The 20,750-nt window shown below is 38.7% G+C and overlaps 2 annotated features.

Annotated features, from left to right (window-relative positions):
• Positions 942 to 1,021: a silencer, noted in NCBI's record as "silent region_17365". NCBI's record gives its function as "represses an Ori minimal core promoter by ATAC-STARR-seq in GM12878 lymphoblastoid cells {active_cell/tissue: GM12878}" and the evidence as "EXISTENCE:reporter gene assay evidence [ECO:0000049][PMID:35858748]".
• Positions 10,405 to 10,454: a silencer, noted in NCBI's record as "silent region_17364". NCBI's record gives its function as "represses an Ori minimal core promoter by ATAC-STARR-seq in GM12878 lymphoblastoid cells {active_cell/tissue: GM12878}" and the evidence as "EXISTENCE:reporter gene assay evidence [ECO:0000049][PMID:35858748]".

Raw genomic sequence — 20,750 nt, 5'->3', positions numbered from 1 at the left:
TCACCATCACTGGCCATCAGAGAAATGCAAATCAAAACCACAATGAGATACCATCTCATACCAGTTAGAATGGCAATCATTAAAAAGTCAGGAAACAACAGGTGCTGGAGAGGATGTGGAGAAATAGAAACACTTTTACACTGTTGGTGGGACTGTAAACTAGTCCAACCATTGTGGAAGTCAGTGTGGCGATTCCTCAGGGATCTAGAACTAGAAATACCATTTGACCCAGCCATCCCATTACTGGGTATATACCCAAAGGACTGTAAATCATGCTGCTATAAAGACACATGCATATATATGTTTATTGTGGCACTATTCACAATAGCAAAGACTTGGAACCAACCCAAATGTCTAACAATGATAGACTGGATTAAGAAAATGTGGCACATATACACCATGGAATACTATGCAGCCATAAAAAATGATGAGTTCATGTCCTTTGTAGGGACATGGATGAAATTGGAAATCATCATTCTCAGTAAACTATCGCAAGGACAAAAAACCAAACACTGCATGTTCTCACTCATAGGTGGGAATTGAACAATGAGAACACATGGACACAAGAAGGGGAACATCACACTCTGGGGACTGTTTTGGGGAGTGGGGCGGGGGGAGGGATAGCATTAGGAGATATACCTAATGTTAAATGACGAGTTAATGGGTGCAGCACACCAGCATGGCACATGTATACATATGTAACCAACCTGCACATTGTGCACATGTATCCTAAAACTTAAAATATAATAATAATAAAATAAAATAAAATAAAATAAAAAAAGAGAAAAGATGTTTTCATTTACATCCATGTGGCTGCAGAAAAAAGCCAATCTTCTTGAGGTACCTGATATCTTGAAAGAAAATGACCAAGAAATTGGCCTATTGGACAGATCACATGGCAGCATCACAGACACAGCCACACACCAGTATGGGGGCTTGAGGTGGCCTCTCTTCTGTAGAGCGGAGCAATGATGCATCACTATATGATTCATTTCTGTAATTCAACTCCTTCCTTCCCCTTCAAAGTGAGATGGCCTGAGGGGTGTGGTTGTCTAACTGGATTTTTTGTAAGGCTGAATCCAGATTCTCACTTACAAAGTGCACATTAGAATCCTTTTGAAAATTCACCTGGTTTAAATCACTGTCAGGGCTTTCATTCTTTTCTACAATGGGGATCTCGAGATTCTACTTATCAGCACCTTAATTTGTACAGATCTTATCATCATGAACTGGGTCCCTAATGTGGTCCTTACCGAAATCTCTGCTATAGGTAGACCTCTCTGGATTAGCTGAGATCCCACTCTCTGGGCAGTTCGACACTGGATAACTAGTTGATAAAATGCTACAAATGAGCCACCAAACACTGTTTTCTCACATTCACAGTATCGTCTCTCTCTGGTTATCTCAATTCTTGAAAACATTGAGTCCCCTTGTTAATATTGTATTATTAATTAAAATATTTTATTACTAATTAAAGTATTTTATTAATATTTTATTATTAATTAAAATATTTTATTAATATTTTATTATTAATATTTCTTGGAGATGATGGTTCACTGCCACCATCATGAAGGGTTGTTACCCTTTTGCATTCTGAGCTCCTTTGAAAGAATCTGTTGATATCTATGAAATATCTTCATAACAAAAAAGTATACATATGTGCTTATTCCAGTAATTTTTATATTTCAGGGATTTTTACAGGGAAGAGTTGGTTAATGTGTATAAAACTATAGTTAGACAAAAGAAATAAGTTCTAGTATTTGATAGTATAATAGGGTGAATATAATTACAATAATTTATTATATATTTCAAATTTGCAAGAAGAGAGGATTTTGAATGTTCCTGACACAAAAAACATCTGACGTGACAGATATGCCAATGATCCTGATTTGATCATTACATATCATATACATGTATTTAAATATCACATGTACCCCACAAATATGTAAAATTATGTGTCAATTAAAAAGTAAAAAAATTCAAGGACTTATTATAAACCTTTACTGAAAACTGCCTATGAAATTAATTTTTTTGTTAAGTCTATGTCAAAAAATAATAAAATTGCATTACTATATGATTTATTTCATTAATTCAAACCCTTCCTTGCCCCTTCAAAATGAGATGGTCTCAGGGATGTAGTTGTCTAACTGGAATTTTTGTAAGGCTGAATCTAGGTTCTCACTTATAAAACACACATTAAAATCCTTTTGAAAATTCAGCCTCGATAATATAAGACACATATTATCTGAAGCAGGCTATGGTTTCTATTCTGTGTTCCATAGACTTTCAGGCATTAGGTTTTATTTTTTTTCCCATAATGTTTGTAATTGCTACTTTTACTTGCATAACTTTATCTGCCAAGTGTGTTCCAGCAGTAGGACAGGGGCCTGATATACCCATCTTTGCTCCACTCTACAGAGGAGAGGCCACCTCCAGCCCCTTCACTGGGGTGTGGCTGTGTCAGTGATGCTGCTGTGTGATCTGTCCAAAAGGCCAATTTCTTGGTCATTTTCTTTCAAGACAGCAGGTAGCTCAAGAACCTCCCAACTATGTTTTGAACTCTTGTACACAGTTCTTTAACTACCATGTCTAGCTTTTGCTTTATGTTGATAAAAAACAGATTAGGTTATTCATTCATGAATCTAAGCAAAGATTATTTTGATTGGCCTCTTTCCTACCATCTCTAGTTACTATGTTCTCAGCCAAATGAGTAGCACTTAAACCAGTCCTTCTTGTCTGTCTTCCAGTTTAGCCAAAGACAGAGTCCAGGCTTGGCCACTCTCTCTGCTCCATCCTCAGCGAATGTGTCCTACAGTGAGATGTGGTGGGCTCCGATGTTAAGATGCTGAATCAAATCAGTCAGGAGTTCTGAATTTTCTGCAGTCAGAGTCTATTTCATTTGAGTGGATGCTTTGGGAAGGGCTTTCCATCCCTCTTTTCCATTTTTCCCTAGGCTGTCATCACTTCCTACCTATTAATACAAATTTCTCTCAGCCAGTTTGGCAATATTCTATATCTACCTCTTCCAAAGTCCAGCAATACATTTTTCAATAGCCTCCAGCCATTACAAAGATCAATCTAAATTCTATGAGGCTTCATATGAGAATCCATTCTCATCTGTCAATGAAAATTATAGACTCAGGATTTGAATGGTTGTTTCAAATGTGATGTGGACTTTGTCAAAAGTTCTGAGCTTCAAAGAGTAGAAATTCTAGAATTCCAGAAACAAAGAGACTTAAGATAGCACCTACAAAAACCTTTTTAGGTTACAGATGAATAATTTGAAATCTAGAGTTGTTAAGATTACATACCTAAGATTTGAAAATGGAAAACAGTTTCCAAAAATGATACAGCTTTGGCTGGCATTTTTTTAAGCTTAAAATTAAAGCATAATGAACCTTGTAGAAAACAGTTTTTTTCCAGGAAAAAAATAACTTTTTCCAGGAATTAAAAAGCTTTAAAATGTATTTACTGAGATGTGAAGTGCTAAATGGCAACCCCTAAAAAGTCCTGTAGAAGTTGCTAACTGATTTGTGATGATTTACAGGGTATCCTTTCCTTTCCCAGGTTTGAGTCTGGGGAGGACAATCAGGACAGGGTAACAATCACAGGGATATCAGAAACCCCTTAAGTCCTACCCAAAGAATCTGTGGGGCCACACACCATCTCTGGTCCTCTGGCAGGCTTCCTGAGTGGTCAACCCTGGGCAGCTGCCAGCTTTACTACTGCCTTCACTGTTAAAGCTGTTCACTACTGTGGCCCACATGGGCAGTTGCGACTTCTGCTTGCGCTGCTGGACACAGTATTTTCTTCATAAATGCAGAATGTGCTAGTTATGTAATGGCCACATATAAAGGGATAGTGACCCTTCTTTTAGTTTTCTCCCCTAGCATCTTGATGAAGTCAGAGTATGTTTGAATGGTATTAATTAGGTAAACTCAAAATAATGTCTCCCTATTGGTCACCAGCAGCATCCATGTTCCTCATACCAGGGAATTGAATCATTGAAGTTAGTGACTCACTTCACTGTCCTTGCCTTCAAGCTGCTCCTTCCAAACAACCACCCTGAGGGAGGGTGTGCTCAAGAGCTTGACACACAGGCCCTTGATAGCTTGTTTTCTGGCCTGTCTGGCTTTATACCCTAAAGCAGTTGTGCACACTGGCACCTACTCTTTGCTCCAGCTATAGTTGATCCTTACTATTCATGGATTTGAAATTTGCAAATCTGCCTACTCACTAAAATTTATTTATTTAACCCTCAAATCATTATTCATGGTGCTTTGGCTGTCATTCATGAACACGTGCCTGCATATGTGAAACATCTGAGTCATCTGATGTTCATGTTTCCACTGAGGTCAAACAAGCTGACACTCTGCCTTCTTATTTTCAGCTCTTATGCTATAAAAATGTCTTTTTTGAGGTCTACTTAGTACCATGTTTTCCATATTTTGTGCTTTTTGTTGGTGACTTGGCTGTTTAAAATGGCCTGCAAATACAGTGCCAAAGTTCTGTCTAGAGTTTCTAAGTGCAGGAAGGCTGTGATGTGCCTTATGGAAATATATACATGTTAGATAAGCTTCATTCAGGCATGAGCTATAGTGCTGTTGGCTGTGAGTTCAAAGTTCATGGATCAACTATATATATTAAATAAGGTGTGTTTAGACAGAAATATAAATAAAAGAAGGGCATGGATTGACCAGTTAATGAAAATGTTGTGACCAGTCACTCTCAGGAATCTAAACTTGTATTTCCCCTAGAAGCAATGGTTCAGTATTTACTCATTCAGTGTTTTTGAGACTTTACAGAATAAAACTACTGAATATAACAAGAATTAACTGTCTGTGAAATGACTTATAATAATTTTGTTGGGGGACAGTGTTTCTCTTTTTTTGAGACAGGCTGGAGTGCAGTGGCATGGTCATAGCTCACTGCAGCCTTGACCTTCTGGACTCAAGCAATCCTCCCATCTCAGCCTCCTGAGTAGCTGAGACTATAGACACGAACCACCACACCCTACTAATTTTAAAATTTTTTTTGTAGAGACAGGGTTTTGCTATGTGCCCAGGCTGATCTCAAACTTCCGGACTTAAGCAGTTCTCCCACCTTGGCCTCCCAAAGTGCTAGGATTACAGGCATGAACCACCACACCCGGCCTTATAATTCCTTAAACACACAAAGTGCCAATGTGTACTTGTGTCTAAGAGTATCCTATGCCTAAGAGTTTCACCTGTCTGGCCAACTTCTCTCCAGCTCCTCAGCCTGCCAGCCCCTTTTCCTTCATTAAGGCATAATTTATAAATTCATTTGTCCCTTAGCTTAGAGTGTGCTTCACCCACAACTCATTGTGTATATTTATATGCTTACTTTCGTATGACAGTGAAGGATAATTTCAAGGGGAAGCAAGATCTCAGAAGTGCAGGTGGTGCTACTGTGGAAAGGAGGGACAGTCCTCTGATTTGCTTTGGTGATGAGGCAGTTCCCTGCAGGAGGAGAGGGACAGTTTGACAAGGTTGCTTTATTTTCTGCTTCCTGCATTTTGCATACATTCTCACATACTCCCATAGTTTCTTCTGTCTCTTTTGGTGATGACTCTGATGGGAATTTGAATGATTTGGGATGGAAAACACTTGAAGATGAACTATGTTACAATAAATATATGTAGAAAAGCTGACAGCAACAGATAACCTGCTGAGTGTTTCCAGGGGAGAAGAAAAGGAGAAACTTAGAGAGCAGAGACATAAGTGGGCTCATAGAGAGAGGTCTCATGCCCATCCTCCTCCCTGAGTCCCAGATGGCAGCAAAGCCCTCAGTTTGAACTGTAGAATTCAAGAACATGAAGGAGGGAGCTGTACCCAGTTTTCCTGCTAGAGGCTATGAAGGTGGCAGAACTTCAGAGTAAATCACCACAGAGACTGTTCGGCCCGAAGGGGACTTAGCAGCCCCACAGTCAGTTAAACTCCATAACGTGGGGGAGCTGCAGAAAGATTTCACCAGGTAGAGAGGCCACCAAGCCATGCATTGTCCCAAAGGGACCACGAGGTTGATTTTCTTCAACAAGCAGACAGGCTGACAGAATACAATCCTAATGGATGCTGGTGTGTACAAATGCCATCAATGGACAGACTATTTCCCTCTTTCAGGTGTCTGCCCACCTCTTGGATTTAGGCACAGATCTAGAGAACTACAAATCACTGACATGAAGTTTCTGCTACTTCAGCAGAATGGAAGATTTACATAGAAAAGTAGCAAAAGCTCTAGTATATTACTTACACAGCTGAGTCACTGAGATTTGTACCTATTAGAAGATTTAAAAATATCACCCAGAAGAACTATATATATATATATATATATATATATATTTTTTTTTTTTTTTTTTTTTTTTGAGGTGGAGTTTTGCTCTTGTTGCCCAGGCTGGCCAGGCTGGCATGCAGTGGTGCCATCTTGCCTCACTGCAACCTCCGCCTCCCGGGTTCAAGTGATTCTCCTCCCTCAGCCTCCCGAGTAGCTGGGACTACAGGCACGTACCACCATGCCTGGCTAATTTTTGTTTTTTTTTTGTTTGTTTGTTTTGTTTTTAGTAGAAACGGGGTTTCACTAGATTGGTCAGGATGGTCTTGATGTCTTGACCTCGTGATCCATCCACCTCAGCCTCCCAAAGTGCTGGGATTACAGGCATGAGCCACCGCACCTGGCCCCAGAAGAACTACATTTTTGAATCTGCAATAAATGTCATAGTAAGCTAAGTCACTCATGAAGAGCTTGCAGGTGTAATGTACTGAAACTCTCAAGTAAAAATGTAAATTTGTGGCATATTGGGCATAAGTCTTTATGATACTTCATAAAACCTTCCATTTATACTTTTACATAGACCCTGCATATTCTAGATATCATTTCCAGCCTCATCATCTGCCCCTTCCTGACACCTTGTCCAATGCCTGACCTCCAATAGGTATCAGAAAATAATCATTGAATTAAGGAATGGATGCAAAGAACACATACCTATTCATGAGACCCTAGAAAACTAACATCAAAGGATAGTCTTTTTGCTTAAGACGCTATAATTGGCTAACATGATTAGTTGTTTACTCAATATTTATTCCCACCTTTATGGGGGCAGTGTGCCCAGCCCTAGGTGACAACCACTATTGGAAAGTGGTTTCCTGCTTTCCCAGACTATTTTACGTCTCTGGTGGTTATACGACTCAGTGCTGGTTGTTCCCAGATACCAATAAGGTAAGGCTTTATATCCGGAGTGTCTTCTAGGAAATCTTTTTCTTTCCTTATAAAAGAGACAGATGTGTTTAGTAAAATACCTAGTTCCACTTTTTTCTGCCTTAAATGTGGCAGCAGCCATTTTATAACCACGACAGAAAGTTCAGGAGAATTGTAGAGATACCAGCTCTGACATTGTTGAACTGCTGAACTGATGCCAGAAGTTGTCTACTTCCAAACTTCTTGTTATATGAAAAAAACAATCCCTGATTGTTTAGGCCATTGTTCTGTTACTTGCAGTCAAAGTATTCCTAAGTGATACATGAATACTGGTTAGAAGAGATAAATGGAAGACAAAGAAATGAAGGACAACTTTACATGGTGGGTAGTGCTTTCTCTGATTTTTCCTTAAAAGAATTTTTGAGTTATGGTCTTTCTGAAGGAAGTGGGGAGCTGTAGAAATGTATGAGTCAGGATAGGGTAGTTTATGTTGAAGTCACAAAGAAAGCCCGACATCTCAGTATCAACACTATAAAGCAAGGGTCAATGAAATACTGCCCTTAGGCAAATCTGCCCTGCAGCCTGTTTTTGTAAAAAAACAGTGTGGGATGCCAAGAGATTAATGAATGCCATTAGGCTATTAGTTCCTCAAAGCTCCTGTTTTTTAATTGATTTAAATGTAAATTAATTGAAATTAAAAATTCTGTTCCTTAGTTGCTATTCAATATTAAGGAATGAATACAAAGAACACATACCTATTTATGAAATCCTAGTAAACCAATATCAGAGGATAATCTTGGAGCTTAAGACATACAATAATTGGCAAACATGGTTAGTTGTTTACTCACTATCCATTCCCACTTTGGTAACTGCTAGTCATATTTCAAGTGCTCAATAGCCATATGTGGCTAGTGACTACCGTATTGGACTGTATAGATATAGAACATTTTTGTCACCATAGAAAGTTTTATCGGACAGCATTGCATTATAGAAGGGATTGGCAAACTTTTTCTTTTTTTTAATTTTATTTTATTATTATTATACTTTAAGTTTTAGGGTACATGTGCACAATGTGCAGGTTAGTTACATATGTATACATGTGCCATGCTGGTGTGCTGCACCCATTAACTCATCATTTAGCATTAGGTATATCTCCTAATGCTATCCCTCCCCCCTCCCCCCACCCCACAACAGTCCCCAGAGTGTGATGTTCCCCTTCTTGTGTCCATATGTTCTCATTGCTCAATTCCCACCTGTGAGTGAGAACATGTGGTGCTTGGTTTTTTGTCCTTGCGATAGTTTACTGAGAATGATGATTTCCAATTTCATCCATGTCCCTACAAAGGACATGAACTCATCATTTTTTATGGCTGCATAGTATTCCATGGTGCATATGTGCCACATTTTCTTAATCCAGTCTATCATTGTTGGACATTTGGCTTGGTTCCAAGTCTTTGCTATTGTGAATAGTGCTGCAGTAAATATACGTGTGCATGTGTCTTTATAGCAGCATGATTTAGAGTCCTTTGCATATATACCCAGTAATAGGATGGCTGGATCAAATGGTATTTCTAGTTCTAGATCCCTGAGGAATCGCCACACTAACTTCCACAATGGTTGAACTAGTTTACAGTCCCACCAACAGTGTAAAAGTGTTTCTATTTCTCCACATCCTCTCCAGCACCTGTTGTTTCCTGACTTTTTAATGATTGCCATTCTAACTGGTGTGAGATGGTATCTCATTGTGGTTTTGATTTGCATTTCTCTGATGGCCAGTGATGGTGAGCCTTTTTTCATGTGTTTTTTGGCTGCATAAATGTCTTCTTTTGAGAAGTGTCTGTTCATGTCCGGCAAACTTTTTCTATAAAAGATCAGTACTATGGTTTGCATGTTTGTCCCTCTCCAAACTCATGTTGAAATTTAACTGCCATTGCAACTGTATTGTGAAGTGGGATCTTTAAGAGGCAATTAGGCCATGAAGGTGCCACCCGCATGGGTGAGATTAATGCTGTGATAAAAACGCAAGTTTGGCCCCCTTTTGGTGTCTTTGCCTTTCTGTCATGTGAAGCCAAGCATTCTCCCTCCAGAGGATGCAGTGTTCCATGTGTCATCATAGAGTCAGAATGGCCAAACCTGTCATGCCTTGATATTGGAGTTCCCAATATCAAGATCCAGTTCCTCCAGAACTGTGGGTCAATACATTTCTGTTTATAAATTATCCAATCTGTGGTATTCTATTACAGCAGCACAAATGGACTAAGACAGACAAGTAGTGTACATTTTAGGCTTTGCAGGTCAAGAGGCCATTGACATTGAAGATATGCGTGGCAACTATTCAACTGCTATTGATACTCAAAGGCAGCCTCAGATAATATGCAAACAAATGGGTGTATCTGTGTTTCAGTAAAACTTTGCAAAAAAGCAGGTTCTGGCCTTGTTTTCTGACTCCTGCTTTATCGTTTTGGCTATGAGATGGTGAGCTTTCTTTGTAATTTCAGCATAAACTGTCCTAATCTGACTAATATTTCTATCCCAACTGGGTAGTCAATAGAATGTACACTTGATATCATTCTAAAAATGTCATATAAAACATTATCAACATATGCTTAGAATAAATGTAAAGAATTAGAACTTAAAGTTTGTTTTTTGGGTTAAAAATATTCCTGCTTCAGTATGATTTTATAATTTTTAAATAATTTTATCCACTTGCAAATTCTTTGTTTCTTGTTGTTTCCTCAAACTCTGAAATCATCTTGATGGTGACTAAAGTGCCCTGTTGAGTATGTTGCAGGCTTAAAACTGGCACCAAAAAATCATAACACATTTAATAAAAAGTACAAATATTATCGGTGATTTGATTTAGACCAATTTGATTTCTTATATCTGTTGAATGTTTGCAGGGCAGCCGACAGACCTACCAGAGCACTGGATTGGAAGGCAGAAGTAGTAAATATTAACTAGCTTTGTCACCTTGGGCAAATAATTCATATGATCAGGCTTGTGTTTTCTAAGAATATTATCTTCTAGAACTTAAAATGTTATCTTAAAAGTATACAGTGGCTCAATTATTCGAAGCAACCACCCAGGCGTGTGCACTTTTATTAGATGATATCGCCCTCTGCTGGACACCTGCTGCATCTGCACCGGGCGCTCTTTCCCACTGCAACCCTCTTGCTTTGCTTCCTTTAATTTAGCACAGCACAGCTGGGCGGGGTGGCTTATGCCTGTAATCCCAGCTACTCAGGAGGCTAAGGCAGCAGTTATCTCATGAGCCCAGAAGTTTGAGGCAGCAGTGAGCTATGATTGTGCCACCGCAGTCCAACCTGGGTGACAGAGTGAGACCCCATCTCTTAATAATTTTTTTTTTTTTTTTTAAGGATAGACAGACCTCTGTATATCACTCCATGAGCTGTAGTATTTCATGATCAGTGAGGCAAAAGTGTAGAGAGAGGGAATTGGAAAAGTCCCTTCACTTTTATTATTTTACTAAAATAAAAAAAGTCACACTATATCATAGAATTATAGTTAGAAAGGACTATAGATATCATGCTAAAAATTTCCAGCACGTACTATATACTGTTTTCAAATACATAATTACATTGGAAGAATATAAAAACACAGGCAGGAACTGTACACGCCAACTTTAGAATAGAGGTTGCACCTGGGAAGGGAGGGAGGTAAGTGGTAATGGGAAGGAGGGACTGTTACTGTATCTGTAATGCCTTATATTTTTTAAAAAGGAGGATCTAAGCCAATATGGCAAAATATTCATGTAATATTTGGCCTCCGTGTGGCAGATGTCATTAAAAATAATTTTATGTTCTCATGCCACTTCTTTCACATATGCCATGTGGAAATCTCACTTCCCAATCCTTTATTGATTTTTTGAGCAGATCCCATAGATTTTGATGTCACTTTTAGGTATTAATTTATAGCCTCCTTTAAAAGCCTTTAAAATGTCCAGAGTGATCTAAACAAAAGCTTTAATCGCTCATTCAAATGAAAACATCCCTGCCCTTGCCTGGCTTGGACTGGAAAGGCTCAGACATCAGCGTCTTCTACACTTCTCTGACTTGCTCTGTGGTGTCCTTGATCTTCAAGGTACATGACTGGCTCAGATTGCAGTTTGGGATGATGCCCTCTTGCAGTGGCAGATGACTGTGTGATGTGGGAACACATCTGGAGCTATTTGGAGACCTCTACTCCCTGAGGGAACCTGTCTCTGTACCTTTCTCTGACACCATCTACCACTCCTGCCTCTGGTGGTACACCCCACACAGACCCTCTCTGCTGGGTCATCTAGTATGGCAGATAGACCTTTTGGGTAGAGTTGTTTCTGGATGTTGCAAGCTTGCTATCTTCCATGGGGTCCCTTCTGGCTTTAGGAACTGTATCTCCCTATGGTCAGAAGTACTGCAGCCCTATCTTGAAACCTCCTCCCCTCCTGGCACCTCCAGGCATTATCAGCCACTGTGTCCTCCAGGCTCCAGGGAATCTTGTCAAGTGGCCCTCACATGGGAATAGGTTGGAGGGGACCTACCACCCATGGCAAGTGGAGGAGGCTTAGCACTCTAACAGTGCTCTCCAAAGGGATCCTCTCTACCAATCTTAGGGAATATTTAGCCTTTTCTTTTAAAGCCTGGACATTGTTAGGCATAAGGTGGTGAAACATATTTCAGATAACCTTTAGCAAGTTTTACCTCAGTAACTTTGTATCTCTTTTAGAATGGACCAGCACACACATCTTTTATTTTACCTCTTGGGTAAGTGTCTATGCCCTTGCAAAAATGTAATTCCACATGGGAGATCTCTGTCTAGAATCCTGTATCTGCAATTTCCAGCCATAGGTATGTGTGCCTTTGCTCTGCAGGGCAGGCTTCATCCTGGGCCTCCCTTTATAATTCTGAGCCTTTTCTAATGAGTCAGGTTCACAGGGGTACCAGTACATTTATAAAGTTTGGGCTTTAGGCACATGGTGTTTGTTATATTACTTTTTTGCTATATGGAAATATTTCTTAATATTATTTAAGAAGTTATTCTAATCCACTCCACAGGATTCTACTTGCGAGGACACTACGATCAAGATAGGCTAAGCCATCTGCCCCAACTCACACATCCAGAAGTAGAACCGAAACCCCCAGGTGCCCAGCATTGGCTACATTGCCTTGAAATCTGTTGTATCATTTACCCAGAGTACAGAAGTGTAGTGCTCAGTGTCTTTTTGAATTTATATGATTGTAAGGATAAAAATATTCTTAGCTTAATTAATAGCAAAGGGACCAGCTATAAAAGTATTCTTAAAGGCCATCAAGTTAGAGGTAACTTTCTGAAATATGGTGGTAGCTTAATCATCTTCCAAGGAGTAACAAATATACTTTCAAACAAATCCAGGAATAGTACTATATAATCATGTGCTGCATAATGAAATTTTGGTTAATAATGGACGGCATATATGAGGTGGTCCCATAAGATTACTATACTCTACTTTTTAATCATTATTTTAGAGTGTACTCCTTCTACTTATAATAAAAGTTAACTGTAAACAGCCTTGGGCAGGTCCTTCAGGAGGTATTCCAGAAGAAGGTATTGTTATCATAGGAGAAAACAGCTCTTTGCATATTATTGCCCCTGAAGACCTTCCAGTGGGACAAGATGGGAGGTGGAGACAGTGATACTGATGATCCCAACCTCGTGTTGGCCTACGTTGATGTGTGTGTGTGTGTCTTAGTTTTTAGCAAAAAGTTTAAAGAGTAAAAACAAAAGAAACTAAAAACAGAAAAACGCTTATAAAATAGGCTTATAAAGAAAGAAAATATTTTTGAATAGTTGTACGATATATTTGTGTTTGAAGCTAAGTGTTATTACAAGAGTCCAAAAGTCAAAAAAATTAAAAAGCTTATAAAGTAAAAATGTTACAGCAAGCTAAGGTTAATTTATTATTGAAGAAATTTTAAAAATACGAATTTGGTGTAGCCTAAGTGTATAGTGTTTATACAGTAGTCTACAGTAGTTTACAGTAATGCCCCCAGGCCTTCACATTCACTCACCACTCACCGACTTAGAGCAACTTCCAGTCCTTCAAGCTCCTTTTGTGATAAGTGCCCTATATAAATGTACCCTTTATTATCTCTTATATCCTATTTTTACTGCACCTTTTTGCTTAGATATGTTTAGATGCACAAATACTTGCCATTGTGTTATAATTGCCTACAGCATTAAGTGCAGTAACATGCTGCACAGGTTTGTAGCCTAGGACCAATAGGGTATGCCGTATAGCCATGTGTGTAGCAAGCGATAACATCTGAGTTTGTGCAGGTACACTCTGATGTTCACATAATGACAAAATCACCCAACAATACATTTCTCAGGATATATTCTTGTTATTAAGTGACTCGTGACTATAATTACAAATCAATCCAGAAATAGCAATATATTTACACGCAGATCCAGATCATTAGCACATACACACATACACACACACACACACACATAAACACATAATGACATGAGGTCATTGTGAGACTGAAGACACATTGTTCTAATTACCTGATAATTTTGGTAATGAACAGTTAAACCTATTGTAGTTTTTAAAAGGCAAACCTGTGTAAGTCATGGTCCAACACAGAGCTCATTAAACAGTTTATTATGTCATTGAAAGCTTCAGCAGCCTTCTATCTTCCTGGGATTGTTTTCACAAGTCCCTCCATTTGTTTGTTAATCCATCGATACATCCATTTTTCCATCCATCCATCCATCCAACAAACTTTTATTTAGTGCCTGACATGTCTGTCACACTTCTGCCCCCAAACCTGATGACCTTTTTTTTCTGAAACACATCCCACCCAGGTATCAGCTTACTTGATAAAACTAACCACTTACGATAGTTTGCCTCTGCTGTAGTCTGCCAAAAGGGAATGGCCTCAAGTTGCCGGGGCCTTTAGGGTTAATGATGAGAATGGATCTAAATTGTGATGAAAGGTGAGAACACGCTTTAGAAATTTAAAGGTGCATCCAAATGTAATAGATTTTTATTAAGCAGTGGGGTTTTTGATCGTGTTTCCCTCATGCCGCACTTCTGTTGCTCTGTTCTTGCTCATTGGTTCATGGATTCTTACCCTTGTTCATTTGTTTCTATTCTGACACACTGTGTCTTCCTGCTTGAAAATTGGTATTCCTGGCAGTGAGGAGGTGAGTGTGGCACCTGTCGAGGACTATATGGTGTGTGTGCATGTGTGTGTAAGTGTGCATGTGTGTGTGCACAAGAAGCCTGGAGTTTTAACTTTTAAGTGAGATATTCATATAAATCCCTTCTACTTTTAGTGCATATTCAAAGAGGTGGAAGTTCAGAATGCTTCAGATTAGGTCCACATTTTTTCAAAAATCATTTTTAGGACTTTTAAATTATTTAAGAAGTGCATTGTGTGATTTGAAGTATGTGCTGCAATTTAACTATCTATGAGGATGAATACTATTCTCTTAGGAGAACAGCTTTCTTCAGTTCACTGAGTGGGAGAGACTAAACACTTTGAAATTTTCAATCTTTTGTTAAGAGTTTGCAAACATGTGAAACAAATGCACATTTTACAAGAGTAGAGAGCTGCAGCAAGAGTGTGGGATTGGGGAGAGAGCATGGCTGGTTGCTTAGAGCAGGCCCCCCAAACCACTATCCCTGTGATGAGGTCACATGGGCAGGACAGGCCCTCGGCATTGCTCCTCACAAATGCAGTTTTGCCAGTGTTGAGCACAAGATTCCGTGTGTGTGTGTGTGTGTGTGTGTGCGCGTGTGCCTGCATGTACCTATTAACATCTCATAGAATTAGTTTTCCATGAAAATCAGCTTGGGAGATTCTGGCCTAGGTAACTAATAATGGTAATTGTGATCAGAACGTTCTTTTTCTTGGATAATACCAAAATTACCATGAGGTTTTCAGAATCTCCCTCCTCTGGTTTTCATGAACATCATTATCTTTGTTGATGCAACTCTAAATGTTATGAATAACTACACAGCACAAATGTTACCAACTTACATTATGATTTCTCTGCTGAGAGTTAGAAGACATTCCTCTCCCTAAATGAGAGAGAAATAAGATGAGAAACATCTTATTCTCACTGGGAATAGTGAAGTACTCCTGTAGATGACTCATCTTATTTTCTTATCCACATTTGATTGAATTCACATTTGAAGGATGAGTGGGTAAAGTGTGTCTCCCTAAAATTCATTTTCATCTGAAACATCAGAATGTGACCTCATTTGGAAATAAGGTCTTTGCAGATGAAACTAATTAAGAATTTCAAGGTGAAATCATCCTGGATTTAGGTTGGACCTGAATCCAATAACTGGGACCTGAATCCAATAACTGGGACCTGAATCCAATAAAAGAGATAGGAGAGGGATATCAGACAAGGGATATTCACAGAGACAGCCGTGTGAAGACACAGGCAGAGGGTGGAGTGGTGCAGCTACAAGCCAAAGAATTCCAAGGATTCTGGGAGCTACCAGAAGCTGGAAGAAGTAAGGAAAAATTCTTCCCTAGAGCCTTCCGAGGGAGTGTGGCCCTGCCTACACCTTGGTTTTGAAGTTCTGGCCTCTAGAACTGTGAAATTTTTGTTGTTTTAAGCCACCAAATTTGTGATTTTTCCAGTAGCCTTAGGAAACTAATAAGAAGGTAATATTTTTGTTATTTTCCCCAAATTATTCTGTAGCTCATGACTCATTCATTACATTTGGTACAAGGGGTCTTACACTGATGAGTGAGTTGTATCCCAAATTTGTTTGGGAGTTAGCTTACATTTTCCAATAGATTACTAATAAAAATATGGTGACTATATTCTTAAGACAGTCATTCATTCACTTATTTATTCATTAAAAATATACACACATGCATAACATTCCTAAAGTTAATGAGTCAAGAAACATCTTCACAAGGACTTATTTACTCGTATGATAGCCCAAGTTATAGCAGTAGCCTGATTTCTGGAATAGAGTTATTTAGTGCAGGACAGAGGAAATTAAAAAAAGTTACTTCCTCTTTCTGGGACATAGAACCAATCAGACCTTCTTTTTTTAAGTAGATAAAGTTTGTATTCAACATCCTCCCCTTAGTCTATGTGGCACACGGTTTCCTCATGTGCCTTTACCTTATCCCTGCCCCTGCCCCACTCCACAGAAGACCCCGCACTCTAGACTCATCTCATTACTATCATTGCCCACATCACCTTCTAAAAGACAATTGCTCCCTATGAGGTTTGTCTTTTCTAGAATTTGGTTAATCAATCAGATTACTTCCAGTTTATATTAATGGATGCATGCTTGACTTTCTTATAATCTACGGACATTGGCATTTTAAAAGAATATTTGTGTATTTGTTACTTGCCGTACTTCCATTCAGTAAAAGTTGGACTGATCTTTAATGCTTTATATTTAAAAACAAAGTAGTTTCATCAGAATTCTGCTGCATGTTTGCAGTGCTTGGTTTGGTCTGTATGGGCCAGTGTTGCACTATCCCTGCGATGAGGGGCAACAGCGAATGGCCTGAGGGTCTCATCTGGGAGACCAAGGCTAAGGGGAGTGGGGTCTAGTTTCAAGGCATTGAGGCAACTGGAGGAGAGTGGGCCCTGGTCCACTGGTACTGACTGAGGTGACACCCATGATCACAGAGTTCTGTCTGATCCTGGGACTCGCACTGGGGACTCTGGGTGAAGAAGAGGGGAGGGAGGTTGGCCCAGTCACTCCACATCAATTGTACTGCAGAGAGAAATAGGAAGGACTGTCCTCACCAATTAGCCATCCCTGTCTTTTAAAAGTCTGGATTAATCTGGATTAATATTTCAGATCTCAAAAGCAAGTGAAACAATCTAAATCTGTTTAAAGAAAATAAAGAAAAAGTACAAGGCTAGAATAAGCTGTGATCATACCACTACACTCCAAGTTGGGCGACAAAGTGAGACCCTGTCTCAAAAAAAAAAAAAAAGTACAAAATATTACCTCATCCTCTGCTTTCTCATCCCCTCAAGATAGCTAGCCAATCAATAGCTGTGTCTATCCTTCCACATCCCATGTGAACATATACACAATTGTTCTCTTTTGTCTTTATAAAAATGGATTATACTATAAACATTATATCATGGACTTATCTCTGGGCAACATGGATATGTGTCTCATGCACTCTGTTTAATAATTACCTAACATCCCATTGTACACATTGGTGTCCTTATTTTTTGTAGCATAAGATTTCCCAAAGTGGATTCCTGGGCAAAGAGGTTTATTTAAAAGATGTTTCCACTTTACTTTCCAAAAATATTGCTGCATTTTACACTCCTATCCACAGTGGAAGAATGCCTGTTCCTTACAGCTTTGCCAGCATTGGATGACATCACTTTTTTATTTTTGCCATCCAGATGGATGAAGTTTTCTCATTGCCGGTTTTACTTGTTTTTCTCACCCAGAAACTTTCCTGGGTGTTGGGAAAAAAAAGGAATCTGCTGGGCTGTAGTTTATAAACACAGCCATTGGAAATTGATAGACCTGTTTTAAATCCTGGCTCTGCCAATTCCTACCTTTGTGGTCTTGGGAAAGTTAATTAAGATTTCTAGTTTCAGGTTTGTAATCTATAAAACTGTTGTAATTATTAAATAAAGTAATGCATGTAAGCTTATAATACAGTTTTGAACAGCTACAAGAACTCAACACATGGTAGTTATTATTATAATTAATAAGTAATGATATAAAGGGCTGGGGATGGAACTGTGGATTCATTATCCTATTACTGCTCTTGATCACCAAAGTGGTCACCTCAATTTACAAACTAAGTTTAAATGAATTACCAATGCATTTAAAATCTATTTGTTTTAGTCTTATAGGGATAGTTTATTATTCTTCATTAAGTTATTCAATTAAGACTTTAAGAAAAGTAATTGATATAAGTACTATCCTAAGCATTATGGATTTATGAGTAAAGATACATTAGGCTAAGTTATGGTAATAAACACTATTAACATTTTGGTGGCCTAAAACACAAAAATTTATTTCTTGTTCTTACTACATATCCACTGAGGGGCACTCTTAGTCATCTAGTCCTCATTTGGGAACTTATTGTGATCCGGTAGCCGCTATCTGGCAGAGGGCAAAGAGTACATGACAAATGCAGGTTGATTCTTAAGGCCCTTGCCCTGAAATGCACATCATTTCTGCTCACACTTCATTGGCCAAGGATAAATGTGAAGTGTCATCTATCATTCACCAGGAAGGAGAGAGCTGGATATTTGTGAATTGTCCTAGTGATGACCATGCAAGATAAAGATGAAAAAGACAAAGTCTTGACTCTGAAGGAGCTTCTAGTTGGAAAGGAAGAAGGGCATTCAGACAAATAATTTTAATTAGTACTGTTTTAATTATCACTGGAGATGAAGAGGAAGGAAAGACTAATTCGGCTTGGTGTTGGGGACAGGGAAAGTTTTCACAGAAATGTTGATGCTTGAGTTTTTTATTTTATTATTTTTTAAAATTTTGATAAAGTACAAACTACAAAATTTACCATCTTAACCATTTTTAAGTGTACAGTTCAGTGGCACTAATTTTATTCACAGTGTTGTACCACTGTCATCCCCATCCATCTACAAAGCACTTTCATCTTGCAAAATCAAAATTCTACATCCTTTAAACAATGACTCCCCATTTCCCTAATCCCTCAGCCTCTGGAAACCATCATTCTACTTTTTTGTCTCTATGAATCTGACTACCTCTAGGTACCTTCTATAAGTGGAATAACACCATGTTTGTCTTTTTTTGTGTGACTGGCTTATTTCACTTAGCACAATGTCCTCAAGTTTCATGCATGTTGTTGCCTGTGTTAGAATTTCTTTTTGTGGCTGGATAATATTTCATTGTAGGTATACGCTACATCTTGTTTATCCATTCATATGTCAATGGACATGTAGGTTGTTTCCACCTTTTGGCTATGTGAAGAATGCTGCTATGAACATGGGTGTACACATATCTGCTTGAGTCATTACTTTCAATTCTTTTGGGCATATACCAAGAAATGTAATTGCTGGATCTGATTCTTGAGTTTTAAAGGATAAGAAGTTCACCAGGAAGACCAGCTGGGAGGGATATGCCAAGGAAGGAGAAGAACCAGTGCCAAGGCTGGGAAATGAGAGGGAACCAAGTACTGGGATCAGCAGTTTGCTGTGGTTGAAAGATCAAGTGGTGGAGGAGTTTTTGGAGTGAAACTGGGGCTGGAGGGTAGAAGCTCAGGAGCTTGGCTTTGACTTCACAGCTCTTGTGGGACCCTCTTAATGACAGTGTCACCCTGTCAGCTGAACACATGGTTTGGAAGGTTCACTGGGAGACCTTCCAAAAGAGTTTAAATGATTTTTCCGTAATCAACTCATTTCAAATAATTTAGAAAATATCTAGTATATTGTTGATACTCAAGAAATTGCTTAATAATGGTAATTTAAACAGAAGAAAATAACAGAGAAAATTCCTATGATCTTTCCAAACTTTGAGTTTCTTTAATGCCTCGAAGACTTCTTGCATCCTTTTCCAATTAAATAAAGTACAATATCAGGCAGCTGTTGTCACAAATGGCCAAATTGCTTTTCTGAAGTGGCCACTTTTATGCTCTTTTTGCTTCCAGACAGAACTTTAATAGCATTAAGTACACTCAAACAGAAGAAGAAAGTAAATAAAAAATTCCAATAGCTGTTAACTTTGGACAACTCGCATGTAACATCTCCACGCCAGCTGTGTTCACCCAGAGGTTCTGGGGACTCATATCACAGAAAAAAGTTATTGAACTCTTTATAATGGTAAAACTGTACTGCAGAAATCTAAATATGCCAGTACTTTATTAAGAAACAGATAATTTGTGTTAGACGTATATGTTCAAGGTTCTTATAAAAACTACTTGCTGGAGAGAGAGAGAGAGATCAATGTGGTTGTGTTCCAGAAGCTGTTTTGTTTGAAATGGTACAGTATTCTCTTTTGGCCTTCTTCAAGTCAAGAATTGGTTGGATCTATTAAAGCTGTCCTTTTCAGGGCCTTGCAGTGTTTAAGAACAATGTTTGGATTTTCTTCAGCTGACTTGGGACAAAGACAAGTGGAAGAACCTGTTTCAGATGAAACCAAGAGATGTGTTTATACAATTTTACCCTAAATGACCGACTCAAATGGAATGTGCCAAATCATCTTTGAGTGAGGCTGGACCTTGGTGAATACCATACTGTTTCTTCCCCAAATTGCCAACCTGTTAGTGGAGGTGAAATCAAGTTTAATAAAATATAAAGCAATGTTGATGGAGAGAAAGAAGACATCACAAACACAACTGTAGTTAGAGTTAGTACTTTGGTGGTGGTGGCTTACTTTTATGGAACATGTATGCTTTTGTTTCTGTTTTTTTTGTGTGTGTGTGTATATTTTTCTCTTCAGTGAAAGGAAGGACAATATTCTTTTTCTGACCTAATGTGATGTTGTTTGAGGATAAAATTGTGTCCCTTTGGTCAGAACCCCTGTAGCCTGTTTCCAGAGGAGGTCA

The sequence above is a fragment of the Homo sapiens genome, chromosome 6, assembly GCF_000001405.40.
Source record: "Homo sapiens chromosome 6, GRCh38.p14 Primary Assembly".
In the NCBI taxonomy this organism is placed as follows: domain Eukaryota; kingdom Metazoa; phylum Chordata; class Mammalia; order Primates; family Hominidae; genus Homo; species Homo sapiens.
Note: the sequence above shows the minus strand (reverse complement) of the source record. Positions and strands in the feature narration are given on the sequence as shown.